At 39.7% G+C, this 16,610-nt stretch overlaps 1 protein-coding gene across 25 annotated transcripts in view; it reads right to left on the bottom strand.

Annotated features, from left to right (window-relative positions):
* Positions 1-16,610, bottom strand: part of TRMT11 (tRNA methyltransferase 11) — a 285,804-nt gene that overhangs the window by 155,918 nt on the left and 113,276 nt on the right. For 7 of the 25 annotated variants that reach the window (XR_007059324.1, XR_007059299.1, XR_007059290.1 and 4 more), the window contains 4 exons: positions 3,472-3,560; positions 1,687-1,721; positions 1,034-1,081; positions 571-683 (listed from right to left, as the gene is read on the bottom strand). The exons of 12 other annotated variants lie outside the window; for them this stretch is intronic. The gene's annotated coding sequence lies outside the window, so the exon portion shown is untranslated. 6 more of the 25 variants (XR_007059304.1, XR_007059301.1, XR_007059297.1 and 3 more) reach the window with 5 other exon arrangements.

Raw genomic sequence — 16,610 nt, 5'->3', positions numbered from 1 at the left:
GATTACTATAGACTATTACTTACTTCCCATTTATCTCTGATTAATACTCTCAGAGTCTCTCAGCTAAGACAGACCTAGCAAAATAATGAAGGTAATAAAGTTTGTATCCAGTGCGCTTTCCTCCCCTATGTCTGTCCACCTCTTCATTCTAGCATCTTCTTCTCACTCTTGTTCCTTGGAAGACTTCCAGCACACTCCCATTGCCCCAAAATGGAGACAAGCCAACCTGAGCCTTCTTGTTATTTGCCTTCCTAGAAAGCTCACCTTGTTGCAGAGCACTGGTTGTTAAATGAGAAGGCATTTTGAGTTAGGTACAGTCAAAGGAGAGAAGAATAGATGTTTCCATATAGCAATTTAGTATAGGAAACTTGCTGGACAAGCATTGAAAATTAAAAAAAAAAAAAAAAAGGACCCTAAGGTAACAGCATTAATAAGCACAAGGGATTACGAAAACCCAGAATCTTGGAGGGGGGAGCCCAGAGCTGGGACTCACACTTCATTGCTGCTGGTATCTCTCAGGGGGTGCAGCAAGACTGATTTGGGGAGTACTCAAATAATCTAGAAACTTGCCTGCCACTCCAGGGTGAAAAGTCACTGCTGAGGTGACACTAATGGGAACAGGAAGAAGCAATACTCTCCTCCCTCTGGCAGGCTTGTGGTCCTCTTCTAGTGCCACCTAAGAGCTAGATGGTGAAAAAAACCCAGAGTCACAAAGTAGAATACAGAAAGGTGCTTTTGAAATAGAGACAATAGCTTAATAACCACACAGGTGATAAGTTGAGCAATGTTCTAATGTTTCTTCTTCTTGAGTAACATGTACATTTTAATTGCTTTACTTCTGATTAAATAGCAATATAAATATTTTCAGACTTGGGCAGGGATACTAAGGACTAGAAAAGAAATGAACATATTTTGAGGGCTAAGGAAATTACCTAAACTTCAAATATCAGGTGACTGAATTTTCCTCTAAGCAATAGCATTCAATCTTCACTGCACATTGGAATCATCTGAGAAGCCTAAAAACTACAAATACCTTTGTCCCACCTCCAGAGATTCTGACTTCATTGGTTTGAACTGCAACCTGGACATGGGAAATATTAAAATACCAAGTGTTTATAACGTACAGGCAAAGTCAAGAACTACAGAGAAGACGAATAATAGTGAGCACAGCTGCCTAGCACTAGCATTTGTGGAAAGGAAAGAGATTTGGAGGTGAAGTATAGGGGAGGAAGCCCTCTGCCTTGAAGGCACTCTCGCTGTGCACAAATACAGCTAATACCCTCCTGAAGGGTGGCTGGAAGGTGGGTATTTAGGCTATGTTAGTACAGTCCCTTAGTGAATTAAGGAGCACAGTATATGGAGGGGGAAAGACACGTGCAGCAATAAATGATTGGCGGTGAGAATGCAAAGGGTAGAAACATAATTCTAAGAGAGAAACTAAAATTGAACCAAGGGAAATGGAAAGTTAATCAATACAGCATAAAACTCGGTGCCCAGGGTGACTTATACCTCTCTTACAGCTCTGTAAATGTGATACCATTTAGTCCACAAGTGTTTGTTTTTCACAGATTTGCTCTTTATCAAGCCTGTTCATCTGTGTGCCTTCTAAAACTGATGTAATATAGCTGAGAGAAAATCTTCTTTGCTGAATAACAAATAAAATATTTGTTAAGTGAATAAACTTACTGAATATCTGCCATCTCTAGATATTGGAGTAGGCCCTAGAAAAAAGCAAAGATGAATAATACATGATTCCCAGTGGAAAGACAGAAAAGACCTCATTTGTTACATGTGGTATATTGAGTAGTATGAAAGATATAAAAAGTCACAGTACACTGCGGAAACTCCCCCTGCGGGAAAGGCACTGTTTTAGCCTCTAGGAGTAACATACAGGTCCCACCTTCAAGGAGCTCACAGTCCAAAATCTTGGGTCATGCAAAAACCTAATGCCAACTGGTACAAGCCACTAATCATGGGCATCTCATCATCCAATCAGCACACAGCTGTCACCCCTAGTAGAGGATCTTTCTAGCCCCACTGTTCTACTTTTTCCTGGATGTCCTCACTGGGATTCTGGATAGTTCTAATATTAACAGAACCCCTTTGATCTGAGCTCTCTGTTCTAGACTGGAATCACTTCTGAGGACTTCTTTCTGGCCTAGATAAGCTTGTCTAGAACAATAACTTTCAAACTGTTATCAGCTGCGACCCGTATTAAGAAATACGTTTTCATCAGAACTCAGTCTACATACATCTGTGTTTGTGTCTGTGTGCAGATGTACAAAAAGCTGATTCAAGTTTCATGCAACAATGCCTTCATCATGACATGAAATGCACTCTGAATTGTTTGTGTACTCTATCCTATTTTAAAATATTTTTGAATGTGCTAGTTACAACTCACTATATTGATTTCATGACCCACTATTGGGTTGCAACCCACATTTTGTAAAGAACTGGGGAAGTCCCTTAAAGTGCGATCCATGGACCAACAGCATTGACATTGCCTGCGAGTTTGTCAGAAGTGAAGACCCTAGACCAACTGAATCAGAATCTGCTCAGATTATTGAGGATCTTTTGAAACTGCAGATTCAGATTCAATAGGTGTGAGGTGGGCCTAAGTTCTCCATTTCTAACAAGCTTCTGGGTGACACTGATGCTGCTAATATTGAGAGCCTACTTTGGGTAGCAAGGATTTAAAGAGAAGACACAAAGCAGATGGATAAAATTGAAATCACTTTTTGAGGCTCCACTCTGTAAGTTCTGTGGGGGCAGAGATATATCTATATAGATCATCACTGTATCCCACGTGCCTAGTAGATTGGCTGACACACAATCAGTGCTCAGTAAATGTAGAATTGATTCATTGAGTAGATGGATGAAGGAATGAATAAATTCCAGTTAGGCTATAGAATCAACTCAGTCTCTCATGTATATGCTAAAGTACAAGTATCACTGTTGGTGAGAAAGGTGAGTCAGATCAGGAACTCACTCCACTGCCTCAACCACTAATGTAGAGGCAGGCAACTCAAGAATTCTTAATAAATAGAAACATATTTGCTCACAAATTAAACTAGCCTCCTATATTGGTTTTTGATTTATAAATAGAAAGACCATACAGTTTATCATCCACATAGAGACTCCAAGATTAAAAGAGGGCCCTGTTAATAAATCAGACTGCCTGGACATGCAGAGACATACAGGTACTCTAGAAGCAGTCAAAATACTACAGCTTCAGGTCAATATGGGGGAACATAACGCCCCTCAAACCACTTTGTTTATACTTTAGTGATAGCACTTAGCACATTGTATCATGGTTGTTTGCTTAATGCCTAGGTTCCCAAATGCAATGTGAGTACCTGAAGGCCAGGGAGGGAGTTCACCTCTATGTCTCCAGTGTCATCTAGGACCTGTCCACTCAGATGCAAAAAGGTCTATTGAACAGATTTGGTGGTCTAGAAACACACAACCTACCTTAGTAATAGGTTATCTTGACTGTAGCCAACATAGAAAACCAGAAGACATTGGGATAAACTGATTCAAGGAGACTTGGTTTCTTTTCCCTATAATAAAAAAAGAATACTAAAACTCTGATTTCATGAAAAAAAAAATCTCAGTAACAGTCAATGACTGAAAGAAAGACAATGAAGTAGAGGAACATAGGCAACTAACGATCTGTAGGGGATTTGTGGTAGAAATGACAGATGAGAGAATGCCAAGAAACAGGATCTAGACAGAGTTAGCTAGCAGCCAAGCAAAAATGCAGGATAATTAATAAGTTTCACATTTTCAGAATTGGTTAATTGTGCACCCAGAGATTGTTATTACTACAACCGATCATTGCAGATGGCAAGGCCAGGCTATCTGTAACTTATCCTACAGCCAAAATATCTTGGAGGTACTCCTGACTGGCATCTAGCCAAACTGTGTCAGTTGAAGGAAGCTTCATATCTCTACCATGTCAGAATGGAACCAACTGCCTTTTGAGATAAAACAGCATTCAAATAGAAAACCCTTCAAAAAAGAAAAGACAGAAATAATTTATGGATCCAAAGATCCAAACAGTTGATGTAACCACAGGAATTATTTCTCAGATCTACAGGGACTGAACCATTCCTAGTAGATGTTAGCACAGTGTTGCTGACTGAGTTGGGAGTTTATGCAGGCTCAGTGCTGAATCCAGAGACGTGAATCACTGAACAAATAGCTCAGGTTCTCTAATGGGCAGGTGGTGGCACCAGTTCACTAACCAGAAAGAGATGGGAAGGAGGGTTAAAGCTGAGCTAATAGTAGCTCCCTTAAGACAGCAAATCTTCTGCAGAATATACTCCAGTTTGGGCTTCTTATTCTGGATTTTGAGCTGAATGGTCTGTGTGTCATCTTTTATGCCTTCTCAGCTTAGTTCTTAGGAGTTTAGAAGAGACAGAAATGGAGTAGAAAGAAACTAAGACCATCATTCAGTAATAACTTACCTTACGGCAAGTGCCATATTGTATCACCTCATTTAAGATTCAGAGCCACACTAGAAATTAGGCATCATATACCCAATTTATATACAGTAAGCCAAGAGGCAGAGAAGTTACTTACAGAGAAGGCAAAGAAGATTTCATGTAAGTGGGAAGTTATTGTGCCAGGCATCTGAACTTAGGTCTCTCTGACCCCAAAACTCCATTTGAAATTTCCCCATAGAGTCAGTGGCTCTACTGGGAAAGCCCTACTCACTCCATTCCGCCTTGGAATGATGTGCCCTTCAAACCCAGATGGTACATGTCCTGTGTGAACTGCAGAAATAATACGTGAGTACCCTGGAAACCTGCAGTTTATTATTTCTGTCTTACACTTAAAACACATGGTGGCCACAGTAGTTGGAAACAAATAAGAGGTGATCTGGTGCTGGGAAAGTGAGTAACCATGTAATTAGCAAAGCTAATGTTGTGCAGTTTCCATAAATAACATGCTGTTTACTTTTGTTATTAAGAGACTTTTAATATTAAAAAGTGTGGGGGGTGTCTAAGGTAGACAAGAAAGATGATATCAGGCACCTGGCAAAGGAGGGAAAAAACTTACTCTGAGAAACTATCTCTTCATTGTTTAATGTTCTTTACATCCTTAAAAATAATCCCCTCAGTTTTCCTTGCAGCTTGAGAACTTGATTATTTGTTGCATTGGTTATGAGAGTGGTAGAGTGAGACTTCCACCTGAAAATTTGCCTACAGAGAAGACAGCTTGTTATTATTATCCAAGACAGGGAGTCTCCTCATCAAGATTCCACCCCATGGGGTCTGAGCCATGGCAGAAGAGGATTAAAGTGTTAGATCATGCAGCACAAGCAGTCCCTCCCAGGGTTCTTGGAAATGGCTGCAAACCATCTCTAATCTAGACATTTAAGTCTCCTCCCATATCCTTCATTCCTAACTGCCTGGGTCAAACTCATTTTCTCCTTACCTAATTTTTCTGAAAATGCATTATTCAATATTTCTGTTTTGGAAGTATTCTCATCTTTTTCCATTTTGTGGCTTTGCTATCTAATTTCAAACATAAATCCACTAAGTAGAGTTGACATCTAGTTCCAGGGTCTGTCCAGGGGACTATAGGCATGCAATAAATGTTAAATCATGATGACAATAGATACAAATAGCAATGTGATCACAGTGAAACACTTCATTTTCCTAGTTGCATGAACTCTACAAAGCTTTGACCCCAAAACAGCTTTGTATGCACGTGTGTGTGCACGCACATGCACACACACACACGCACATGTTTCTATGGTTTCTGTTACCATAGGAAGCATTTCCATTCTGCTCCATTGTACGTTTATACAACACCTCATTGCTATTGCTATGGTATCCAGAAACATTGCTTAAATTAAATGAATAGAAAACATCAGGGAAGAAGAAAGGGATTAAAATACAGACAGTTGAAAGAGAACAGAATAACAGAGGGTAAGAATGGGTGATGATTTTTAGAAGCAATTATTTTCTAATGTAATTTTATTCTGGTACATTTCTTTTTGAATACATATTTCACTGAGCATTCTGATTCTCTTCATCCATGTAAAAGCAACTTGGAGGTATGGAAAAGAGACCATATTTCTCAGTCTTAAGATATTCCTGGGAAGGATATGGAGCCCAGGCCAAATCATCCTATGTGTTTCTCAGCACTGCCCAAGTGATGTATAGTTGAAGAATAACCTTGAAAGCAAGAAATTTTCATTAAATGCCCCCCAAAAAAGCCAATAATAATGCCTCCATAGCAGATAAGGTGGGTACAACTGCTATTGCTGATTGCACAGTTGCTGATTAAGAGTCTCAGGTCTTTAGCAGCATCAGCTGATCATGCCATCAAGCTCAGTCCACACACTGTGCCCTGCTTCTCCGCCAGCTGAAATCTTCTGATTCTCTTCCTCAGTCTCTCAGACCCAGCCAGATTTGAGGCTAAAAGTTTAACTAGCTTTCTAGCCCCATCCTTGGTGCCTTCTTCAAGTCATGCTTGGTGCCAACCCAGACCTGGTCTTGTACAATAATTCTGCCATTTTCTGGTTTGTTCCCTGGAGTTAGAGTACCAAGTTCCTGTGTCTGCTTAATGTCCCAAGACATTAAGCAATACTTACATGAGGTTCTCAACATATTTGACCTAATAATACTAATAGATGACATTTGTTCAATGCCACCTATGTGGCACATAAAATATAAATGTATGTGCCAGGCACCACTTTCCATGACTGATCCTGATACTTACAGATCAGGAAGTTAGCTTTTTCAGAATACCCAAAGCTTCTTAAGCAATGGACTTGATTTGAACCCAATTCTGAGGAAATTAGAATCTAAATCAAATTTTAACTTTAGTACATTGAAAAATTGTAGCCTTACATTAGAGCAATCTGTTAACATCACCAATAGCTGGACAAATTAGCATGAGGTGCATCCTGGTATGATGCACTGAGAACATAGCATCACTTCAGTGTCATTCCTGCCCAAAGGGTGTAACTTCGGTGCAATCATGAGGAAGCATCAGGCAAACTCAAATTGAGAGACAGTCTGAAAGACAGTTGACCTATATACCCTTTCTAAAAATGTCAAAATGAAAAATCACAAAGAGAAACTGTTCCAGACTAAAAGAGACTAAAGAGACAACTAACTGCAACATGTAATTTGATTGGTCCCTGAACATCCCCTCCCAAAACCTTTTCATTGGGACAACTGGTGAAATACAAGTTTGTACTTTAGATGTTAGCATTGAATCAGTATTAGTTTTCTGATTGCAATAATTATAATGTGGGTATATGAGAATTTACTTTTTCTTAGAAAACACACACCAAAGTATTTGAGCATGCAACTTATTCTCAAATGATTCATAAAATAATAAGTGTCTATATAGAGAGAAAATTATAAAAATAAATGTGGTAAAACATTAACAATTAGGATATTATAGTTGGAGGGATATGGAAGTTCCCTGTACTCGTAACTTTTTGGAGAGTCTAAAATTATTTCAAAATAAAAAATTACCAAACGATTAATTCCATATAGTAGAAGAGTGTCCTTTTCAGGTATCAGAAGGGTCAAATGACCCATCCACATCACTAGCCATTAGCAAGGCACCTGAGAAGCCAATTAAATTCAAGAGCCAGTTGTACAACTAATAGTCCCTCAGATCAATTGCTGGTAGAATGTCATGCTGTCCATCTTTCTACATTTAACCTTATTTCTTCCCATTTTCCTCCTCTCTTCTCTCTTTGTTATGCTCATGTTTTCTAGAGCACCACATTCAATGAACTATAAATTAATGTTCTAGAGAAGGAGTGCAGCTCAGTGAAGAGTGGATTGTTGGGGTGCAATTTCCAGCTCTTCTGTTTAGTAGCACTGTATCCCAGGGTAACTGATCTCTAAAATGAGTGTGATAATACTACTTACCTCATGAGGTTGTTATGATGATTACATAAAGTATAAATGTAAGGTGCCTGGCACATACATTTATATTTTATGTGCCACATAGGTGGCATTGAACAAATGCCATCTATTAGTATTATTAGGTCAAATATGTTAAGAACTTCATAAATAAGTTGGCACTATCCTTAATGAGTTCACATCACAAAGGCACAAGGGGCTAGAATTCAAAAGGGAATGTGAAGTGGAGCAACTATATAGCCATGACTGAAGTAAGAAATGCCCCAAATTCAAAATAACAAAAGACATGAGCATAAATAAGCAACTTAATTCCATTTTAGGGCTGTGACAAATCTAAACAAAGTGGAAATTACAGGCAAGAGCAGCAACAGCTTAAGGAAAAATGAAACCTAAAAACAGTTCTTTGCCTCCCAGGGGAAGACTTTAAAAAGATAGGGAAGAATATTTGAATATGAGACAAAAACATGTGTTACTTTCTCATTTCCTGCTCACGAGATGCTCTGTCTGCCATTATTTAAGCTGTGTCGAGGACATATAATCAGAGACTAAGCAGATATAAATGCTCAACAGGATGATTCTTTATGATTCCTTGGCACCCTATGCCAAACATTAATAAGGTTTGTGAGAAGCCAGTGAGCACTATAAATTGCTCTCCTTCTAATATGAATCACGCGACAGACTTCATTTGTTTCCTGCATGCTGACCTGACAATGAGAAATAAATCTGATAAAGTTCTCTAACTTGGAAAGGATTTGTTTTCTGTCCAGGGAATCTATCTCAATAAGGAAAAGGTTATTGGGCTTCGAGCCACGGGCAATAATATGTATACCTGAACCGCTCCTTTGGTATTCTGAGCATTGTCACACAGGATTCCTTGCTTATTCAGCCTTTTTAAATGGTCCCAAAGGAATGTTTTTGTGCAAGCCGCTCAGCCCACAAACTCGCCTGCTGTGCATGATTTAGGACTGAAATGTCTTTAAGTGAGCCATATTTTACTCGCAAGGGCTGGGTGGCCATCACTTTAGATCCTCTGTCACCCCAAACTCCATCGCTTATTTACATTTTTCATATTTAAGGGGTAAATAGTTCCAAGACACATACTCCAGTTCATACCTTGTCAGGGTATCCTGCAAGCAGGTCAAAGAAAAGGGAATTGGCTTCAGCTTGATTTTCGAGTATTTCAGACTGTTTTGCATTCTGACGCTAATGATACTCTTCTTAAAACAGTAGTGTGCTGTATTATAATTGCACATAGGCAAAGTCATAACCAACAACTGTCAGGAAGGAAATTTTCCATCTTGTGAAAAAACATAAATACCAGATGCTTCAGCACTATATTCTCATTTTTTTTCTAAAGGACTGAAATTAAATAAAACTACACTTAGAAGTAATTAGAAATCCAAGCAACGCTCTCTATCCAAAATGGTGAGGTTCTGTTAATAATATTAGTGATACTCTTTTCTTTTAACACAAGGATCTCAAAATATATCCTGAAAAGCTAAAGAAAAAGTTGTTAACTAAATAAATTGTATATAGGACAATAATCATAGTGTCCCCACAGAGTCTGATTTTTTTTTTTTTTTTTTTTGAGAGAGAGAGGTCACTCTCTGTTACGCATGCTGGAGTGCAGTGGCCAGAATCTGAATTTTAATGCAAAAGTAAAAACTGTGGCAATTACTGATGTATACACCAATACTCCTAATAATAATTAAATTCAAGTCATAGGTAACATGTATTGAATACTTAATATATGCCAGCCCTGGGCTAAGCTCTTTATATGGATAGCTGCTTTGAGTCCTCACTTCTACCCTAAGAAATAAGTATAATTATTATCCCCCATTCTACAGAGAAGTAAAGTAGAGCTTAGCAGGAGGAAAATATTCCACCAAAGGTCACAGAGCTTATGTTATAGAGGCCGCATTCAAACCCAAGTCTCTCTCCAGAGCTGAAGCTCAGCCACTTTGCCATACAACATCTATCTTCGAATTCTAGCCTATTTCTGCAGCAGCAAAACCCTTTCCAACAGCGCGAGAAGTAGTGAGGCCAAAAAGCTAGCAATTTCTTAAAAGATCCATCTGGAGGCTGGGTGTGGTGACTCACTCCTGTAATCCTAGCACTTTGGGAGGCCGAGGCAGGCAGATCACTTGAGGCCAGGAGTTCGAAACCAGCCTGGCCAATATGGTGAAACCCTGTCTCTACTAAAAATACAAAATATTAGCCAGGCATGGTGGCAGGCGCCTGTAATCCCAGCTACTTGGGAGGCTGAGGCAGGAGAATCACTTGAACCCAGGAGGCAGAGGTTGCAGTGAGCTGAGATCATACCACTGCACTCCAGCCTGGGTGACAGAATGAGACTCAATCAAAAAAAAAAAAAATCCAACTGGAATCCTAGTCAAAAAAACATTAAGATATAAAAAATAAGGATGTCACATGGACCAGGAGTGGAAACGGAAACACCAAGATCCCAATTATGGCCAGTAGCCCATCTGTTGGATATCAAACAATTATGTATTGAGCACCTTCCGTGGGTCTGGCACTATTCCAGGCATTTGGATTTGTGGGAGTAACCCGACTTTGGATTTTTCCATATTAATTCAACACTTTTATCAGAAACCCAGGTATCAGTTTCTCTGTACTGGGAGCCAGGGCCTCAAAGTTAAATACACAGCCCCTGGTTTCAAGGACCTTATAATCCAGTGCAAACCTCACAGACAAGAATCAGGAGTACTTTGCTCTTTTACATGGTTGTGCTTTCCCCTTACTCTCATACCTTCTTTCCCCTAAAAAATGAAAGCTAACTCTCCATATTGAAAATCAAACTTTTAAGATACATCATGTTGGTTTTCATAATTACCCTTTAAAAAGAAGCAACAAGGCAAAAACCATCTCAATCCATAGAATCAAAATGCATGAGAGCTAAAAAAAAAAAACAATCTTAAAGATCATGCATGCTCTGAGGAAACCGAGGCCTCCGTCTCCGAACAACTGGGGGAGCTGTGCCTCTACCCCGCATCATCTGGCTTCCAGGTACTTGGTTCTTCCCCAGTGCACCATGTTGAGCTACCTCCTGCGTGATCAACCCACGTCCCTTCTGACTGCCAGAAAAATGAAAAGTTTTATTGTTCATAATTTTGGATAAATTGCAATATTGTAGGTTCATATAAATTCACTCACAAATTACACTCAATAAACCCCAGTGAGCAATTTAAAGGCATGATACCACCCCGTCTCTTGCTGGGAGGGCAAGGTGATGATGGAGCAGGAGGGAGGAGAATGAAGAAAGCTCATAAATTAAGAGAAGCAAAGGAGTGATTTCATCAAAGTGCCAAGCTCAGTCCATGGAATGTTTCAATTGTATAAAATTTATAATGTTCTGAGGGGGATGATTTACGGGTCCTAATTTTTCACAATAAAAAGCTCAGTGGGGATTCTGTGAATGAAATATCTTTTTTAAAATAAATTAAAAATGTAGTTTGAAATGAGGGTCAGTGGTGCCACGTCTGGAGAATAACTCCTTATCGGATCAGCTCCAAAAATGAGTCACAGGAGAAAGGCCCCATAAAACATGTATTATTTAAAAAGGCATAGGAAGGTGTATGACAAATAAGCAATATGCAGAAAAGCATATCTGATCCAATTTGTCCCATCAATAGGATAATATCTTTATCATTAGGTTTCAATGAAAAAAGAAGAACTCGATAGAAATCTAAGGGTTTTCATGAAGATTAAGGTCTTTAAACAATGGGAGAAGAAGAGAAAGGAAGGCATAAAAATGAAATCTTATAAATAAGTAAATGTGTCTCATATTTAGGAAAAAACAAAATGTAAATATGTACTGCTTCCTGCAAATTTGACCTATATGGAATTAGAACCTAAATGTCATGCAATAATTCTTAGACCCTTCCTTCAGTGAGGTCTTCTACAAGGAGAACATTAAGAGCTTCCCCTCTGTCCACAGGTGCAGCCAAATGATAGTCCTATAAATGGGGACAGGCCCACTGAGCCACAATCCTACATTAACTGGGCCCACCTGTATGTTGGTCCATCCATTCTTCACAGCTGTGGCTCAACCTCAGCTTCCTGATAGTGACTGAATCCTTCAAGAGGCTATATTCCTGTTCCTCCAGGTTGGGTTCTTGACCAACTACCTGGACTTTCCAGTTTCTCTCTCTGAAAGGCTTACTGAACCCCAGTCCTAGTACACCCAGTTTCTTGCCACCCACTCCTGACTAGTTGGCCTTGTATCTCAGCTCCGGCAAGAGTAAAGCTTGAGTTGACTACATCACTTTGAACGGCGACTATTCATAGCAAGTTATCTCCCTCAATACACACCTCCTAGTTGATGCTTTATCTCCTGGGCTCCATCTCCACAAGCCAAACCTGCTGTTTAGCCAAGATTATTCAAATTTTGATGGTGATTATTTAGTAGTTGAAACAAGGAGATCAGAATCAGTTTTCTAAATTTGTAAGTGCTATTTTTAATTTCCTAAGTGAAATATAATTGTCTCAAATCTTTGTACATTTCTTGCTTCTTTCATTTCTGTGGTGGATAGGCTCCAAGGTGGTCCCCCCATGACCCCAGATTCTTGTTGTTCATGCCCTTGTATAACCCCATCTCCTTCAGATTAGGTAAGACTTGTGACTTGCTTCCAATCAACAGAATATAGCAAAGGAGATAGGAAGTCACTCTCATTATGACATTATGTTATGTAAGACTCCATCTTACCAGCAAATTTGCTCCAAAGACTCTCTCTCAGTAGCTGTCTTGAAGAAGAAAATTGCCATTTTGTAAAAAGGCATATGAGAGACAACCTTGTAGCATGGACCTGGGGTGGAAGGGGCAGCCAATAATTGCTGAGAAAGGCTTAATCTGATAGCTAGCAAGAAGCTGGAGCCCTCAGTCTTACAACCACAAGGAAATGACTTTTGCCAACAACCTAAGTGAGTTTGGAAGCAGAACCATCTCCACTTGAGCCTCCAGATGAGAACTGAGCCTCAACTAACACGTTGATTGCAACTTTGAAGAGGACCAGTTAAGACATGCCCAACACCTGACCTACAGAATTGTAATTACAGAAATATATGTGTGTTGTTTTAAGCCACTATGTCTGTGGAAATTTGTTAAGCAGCAATATATAACCTATACAACTTTAACTCAAATAAATACAAAGACAACTCAATTGTGCATTGTGGTGAATAGTATAAAAGACTCACTTTTAATCCTTTAGACACAGCCAGAAACAAGAAGGAGTTTACAATCTGGATGGAAAGATTAAACAAAATTAAACAATATCATATGACAAATGAGAATTAGCGTAGGACCATTTATGATCAATTGCCAAATACATGAGGCAGGCATAAATTCTCCAAGTATGCTGTGGGAAGAGAAGTCACTGGGTCCCAGGAAGAGTTTACGATGGAAGTCGAGGAGGTTCCACAGTTCTTGCAGGATAAATAGAGCCTGCTTTGGCAGAGATGAGGAGTAACACATTTGAGACAGGAAATAGAAAACAACACACTCTGATCTCTGTAGAAATGAAAATGCCATTCTCTATGGGATGAACAATTATATAAGACAACAATTATATGACTTTGGCAAATTATTTTCTCTCTCTAAACCTCAGTTCCCTCTGCTGTAATACAGGAAAAGTAATGGTATCATCCTCAGTAAGTTGTTTTGAAAGTCCAATAACAGAATTAAAGTGCTTAGCACAGTAAGAACCTGATACATGTTTGCTATTATTATTGCCAGTAGAACTTTTTTATACTTACTAGAAGAGAGTGCAGTTCAGTAAAAGAACTGCCATTATACCAGACCCTTTAAGTCAGCTCAGAGTCAAGGTAAGAGTCTCAGCCTCTTCTCTGGGCCATTCCAAGGACACATTGCCCTCAGTTCCTGCTTCCTGCCTTCCTGCCTAGCATTGTTAGGCACTTTTACGACAATAAAGATTCTCATACTAAATCACTGGGCAACTTGAGAACAAAGGGCTTGTTTATTTCATCTTCTTAACTCTCACCAGGTCCAAAACAAAGCTTGGCATCTAGTAAATCCTCCTGAAGTGGTTTGCTTTTGTGTTTTTTCAACGACGAGGCCAGCATCGCAGGAGGCTGGGGACTGCGGTGGGTGGCAAAGATAAAGATATTGCTCAAAATTCATCCTATGTCCTTTGAAGTGTTTTGCTTAAGGTCTTGGAATTTAATCCCACCCTGTCCAGCTTCAGGCGAATTTTTCTGGCCCAGTTAATATAGTTAGTTCAAACTTTATTTAATATAGGGTTGGCTACCATGGACACATTCTTTTCTTCTTTTCTTTCAGAGTTCATCTCAAGAGATGTTCCTTGTTTGCAAGTCTCTCCACAATAACTGATTGCCATGATCAGCAGCAACCTGAGGAGGTCCCATTCATTTGTATGTTTGCAAGCTGCACTGCCTCCATGGAGAGAGCACCCATCCCCTCTCTTGCACCAAAAATTCAAATTTAGAACGCACTACATCTATCGGCATTTATAAACATGAGGCATATGTGAGTCTTCTGGTTAGCTGATGGTATTTACAGTCTTCCTGTTGTTCAGCACTGACACTGGAACATAAGTCCCAGGAGTTTACTGGAATATTCACATATGGTCAAATATTAAGGCATCTTGGTATATTTGAGATGCAGTGTGTTTTCACACAGACAATTGGCATCTGGCTTGAATGTTGAAAGGTATGGAGGGAAACGGAGATGCCAATAGGAAATCAAAAGAACAGAAGAGCATGAAGAATGGCCTTTCTCTCAACCAAAAGAGAACTGGAAATGCGGCAGCTTCCTCAGATGATCAGCTGTCCACGTCTGAAAATTCAGTGTGCCTCCAGGGTATTTTCACTTAAAATTAATCCAGAATGTTGTTTCCTTCAAATAAGTGAAAAAGACCTGAACAACTGAGTTGATTTATTTTAAGAACTGAAGCCTATAAGAGCATGTGGAGGAAAGGCTTGAATTCCATCTCTACAACTTACCAGCTGTGTGTCCTTGGGCAAACTGCATAACCTCTCTGCACATTGGTTTCATCATCTATAAAAATGGGAACAGATACACCTGATGCTTTACTGCATTGGGTAGTTGTGATTCTGATTAATATGAAGTAACATATATAGTCTTATAAAATATAGAATAGTATTACTATTAGCTTCATTGAATCATTTTGCAAGTGGAATATATATAATTAATTTCAAAGTTATTATTAATTGTAGTAAACAATTTCTTGTCTGCCTAAGAGCACGTCTTTTCTGGGAACTGCCCCCTCGACTATCTCCCTCCCAGTCCAGACTTCATCAGCTTTGTAGGAGTCTCCATGTTGAATAACAAGGGTTCTCTACCCCTGGGCCACAGACCAGTACCTGTCCTTGGCCTGTTAGGAACCAGTCCGCACAGCAGGAAGTGAGCAGTGTGCTTCATCTGTATTTATAACTGCTCCCCACTGCTCACATTACCCCTGAGTAATGTGAGTAACCTCTACCTCCTGTCAGATCAGCAGTGGCATTAGGTTCTCATGGAAGCGTGAACCCCACTGTGAACCGTGCATAGAAGGCATCTAGGTTGCATGCTCCTTATGAGAATCAAATGCCTGATGATCTGTCACTGTCTCACATCACCCCCACAGGAGACCTGTCTAGTTGCAGAAAAACAAGCTGAGATCTCCCACTGATTCTACATTATGGTGGGTTGTATAATTATTTCATTATATATTACAATGTAATAATAATAAAAATAAAGTGTGCAATAAATGTAAAGCACTTGAATCATCCCAAAACCATTCCCCCGACTCTTGTCTGTGGAAAAATTACCTTCCACAAAACTGGCCCCTGGTGCCGAAAAGGTTGGGGCCTGCTGTTGTATAGCACAAGTTCAGCCTGGCCACAGCTTATTGGGATGATATTCTTAAGGCTTAGCCATATTCCTGTCCTCAGGGTATGTGACAGCACATTCCTTGTAGCAAATCCATACAGCACATTCCTTGTAGCAAATTTTCTTGCTCAAGCTTGTTCAGGTCGGGTTTCTGTCACATGCAACAAGAAAGACTCCTAACACAATAACGAGCTAAGAATAAAAAATGGGGAAAATAATTTTTTAATGGAAAATAATGGAATAAGAAATGAGAAATAAGAAATGAGACTGCCTAAGCTATTTGGTTCCAGCTATTGAAATCTCAGCATTGTGACTAGACACGACACAGCAAATCATAATCTCATAGTGCCTTAATCCTAATCTATAAAATGGAAATTCTCACCACCCTCAGGATGCAAAAATGATCCTCTTATATCATCAAATATAACTGAAACCAACTCAAGAATCTCATACTGGCTTGGTCCTCCACGTCTCCTTCCTCTGCATCATCTCCTGAGAACCCTAGGAGACTTAAATAAATTAAAGAGAAGAGTCACCTAACTTTCAACTCAAAGCATGCAAAGAGTGTCACCGGTGGGCATGGTCTCTGGAAAGAGGGAAAAACTGCCAGCAGCACTACTCCCTTGGCAGCATACTCCACCCAGGCTGCTGAGACCTGCCAGGCTCATGCTCAGCCAGGCCCCTCTGAAGTCCCAACTACCTACCAGGCTCCACACCCAGTCTGGTGCAGGTGCCCAGCTCTTCCAGACCCACAACCACTTCTTCTCTCATTCCAGTTTCAAAAATCAACTCAGGAGTCTGACTGCTTTCCTTTTCAATCT

This window comes from Homo sapiens, chromosome 6, assembly GCF_000001405.40.
Source record: "Homo sapiens chromosome 6, GRCh38.p14 Primary Assembly".
In the NCBI taxonomy this organism is placed as follows: Eukaryota; Metazoa; Chordata; class Mammalia; order Primates; family Hominidae; genus Homo; species Homo sapiens.
This window is presented reverse-complemented; position numbering and strand designations above follow the sequence as displayed.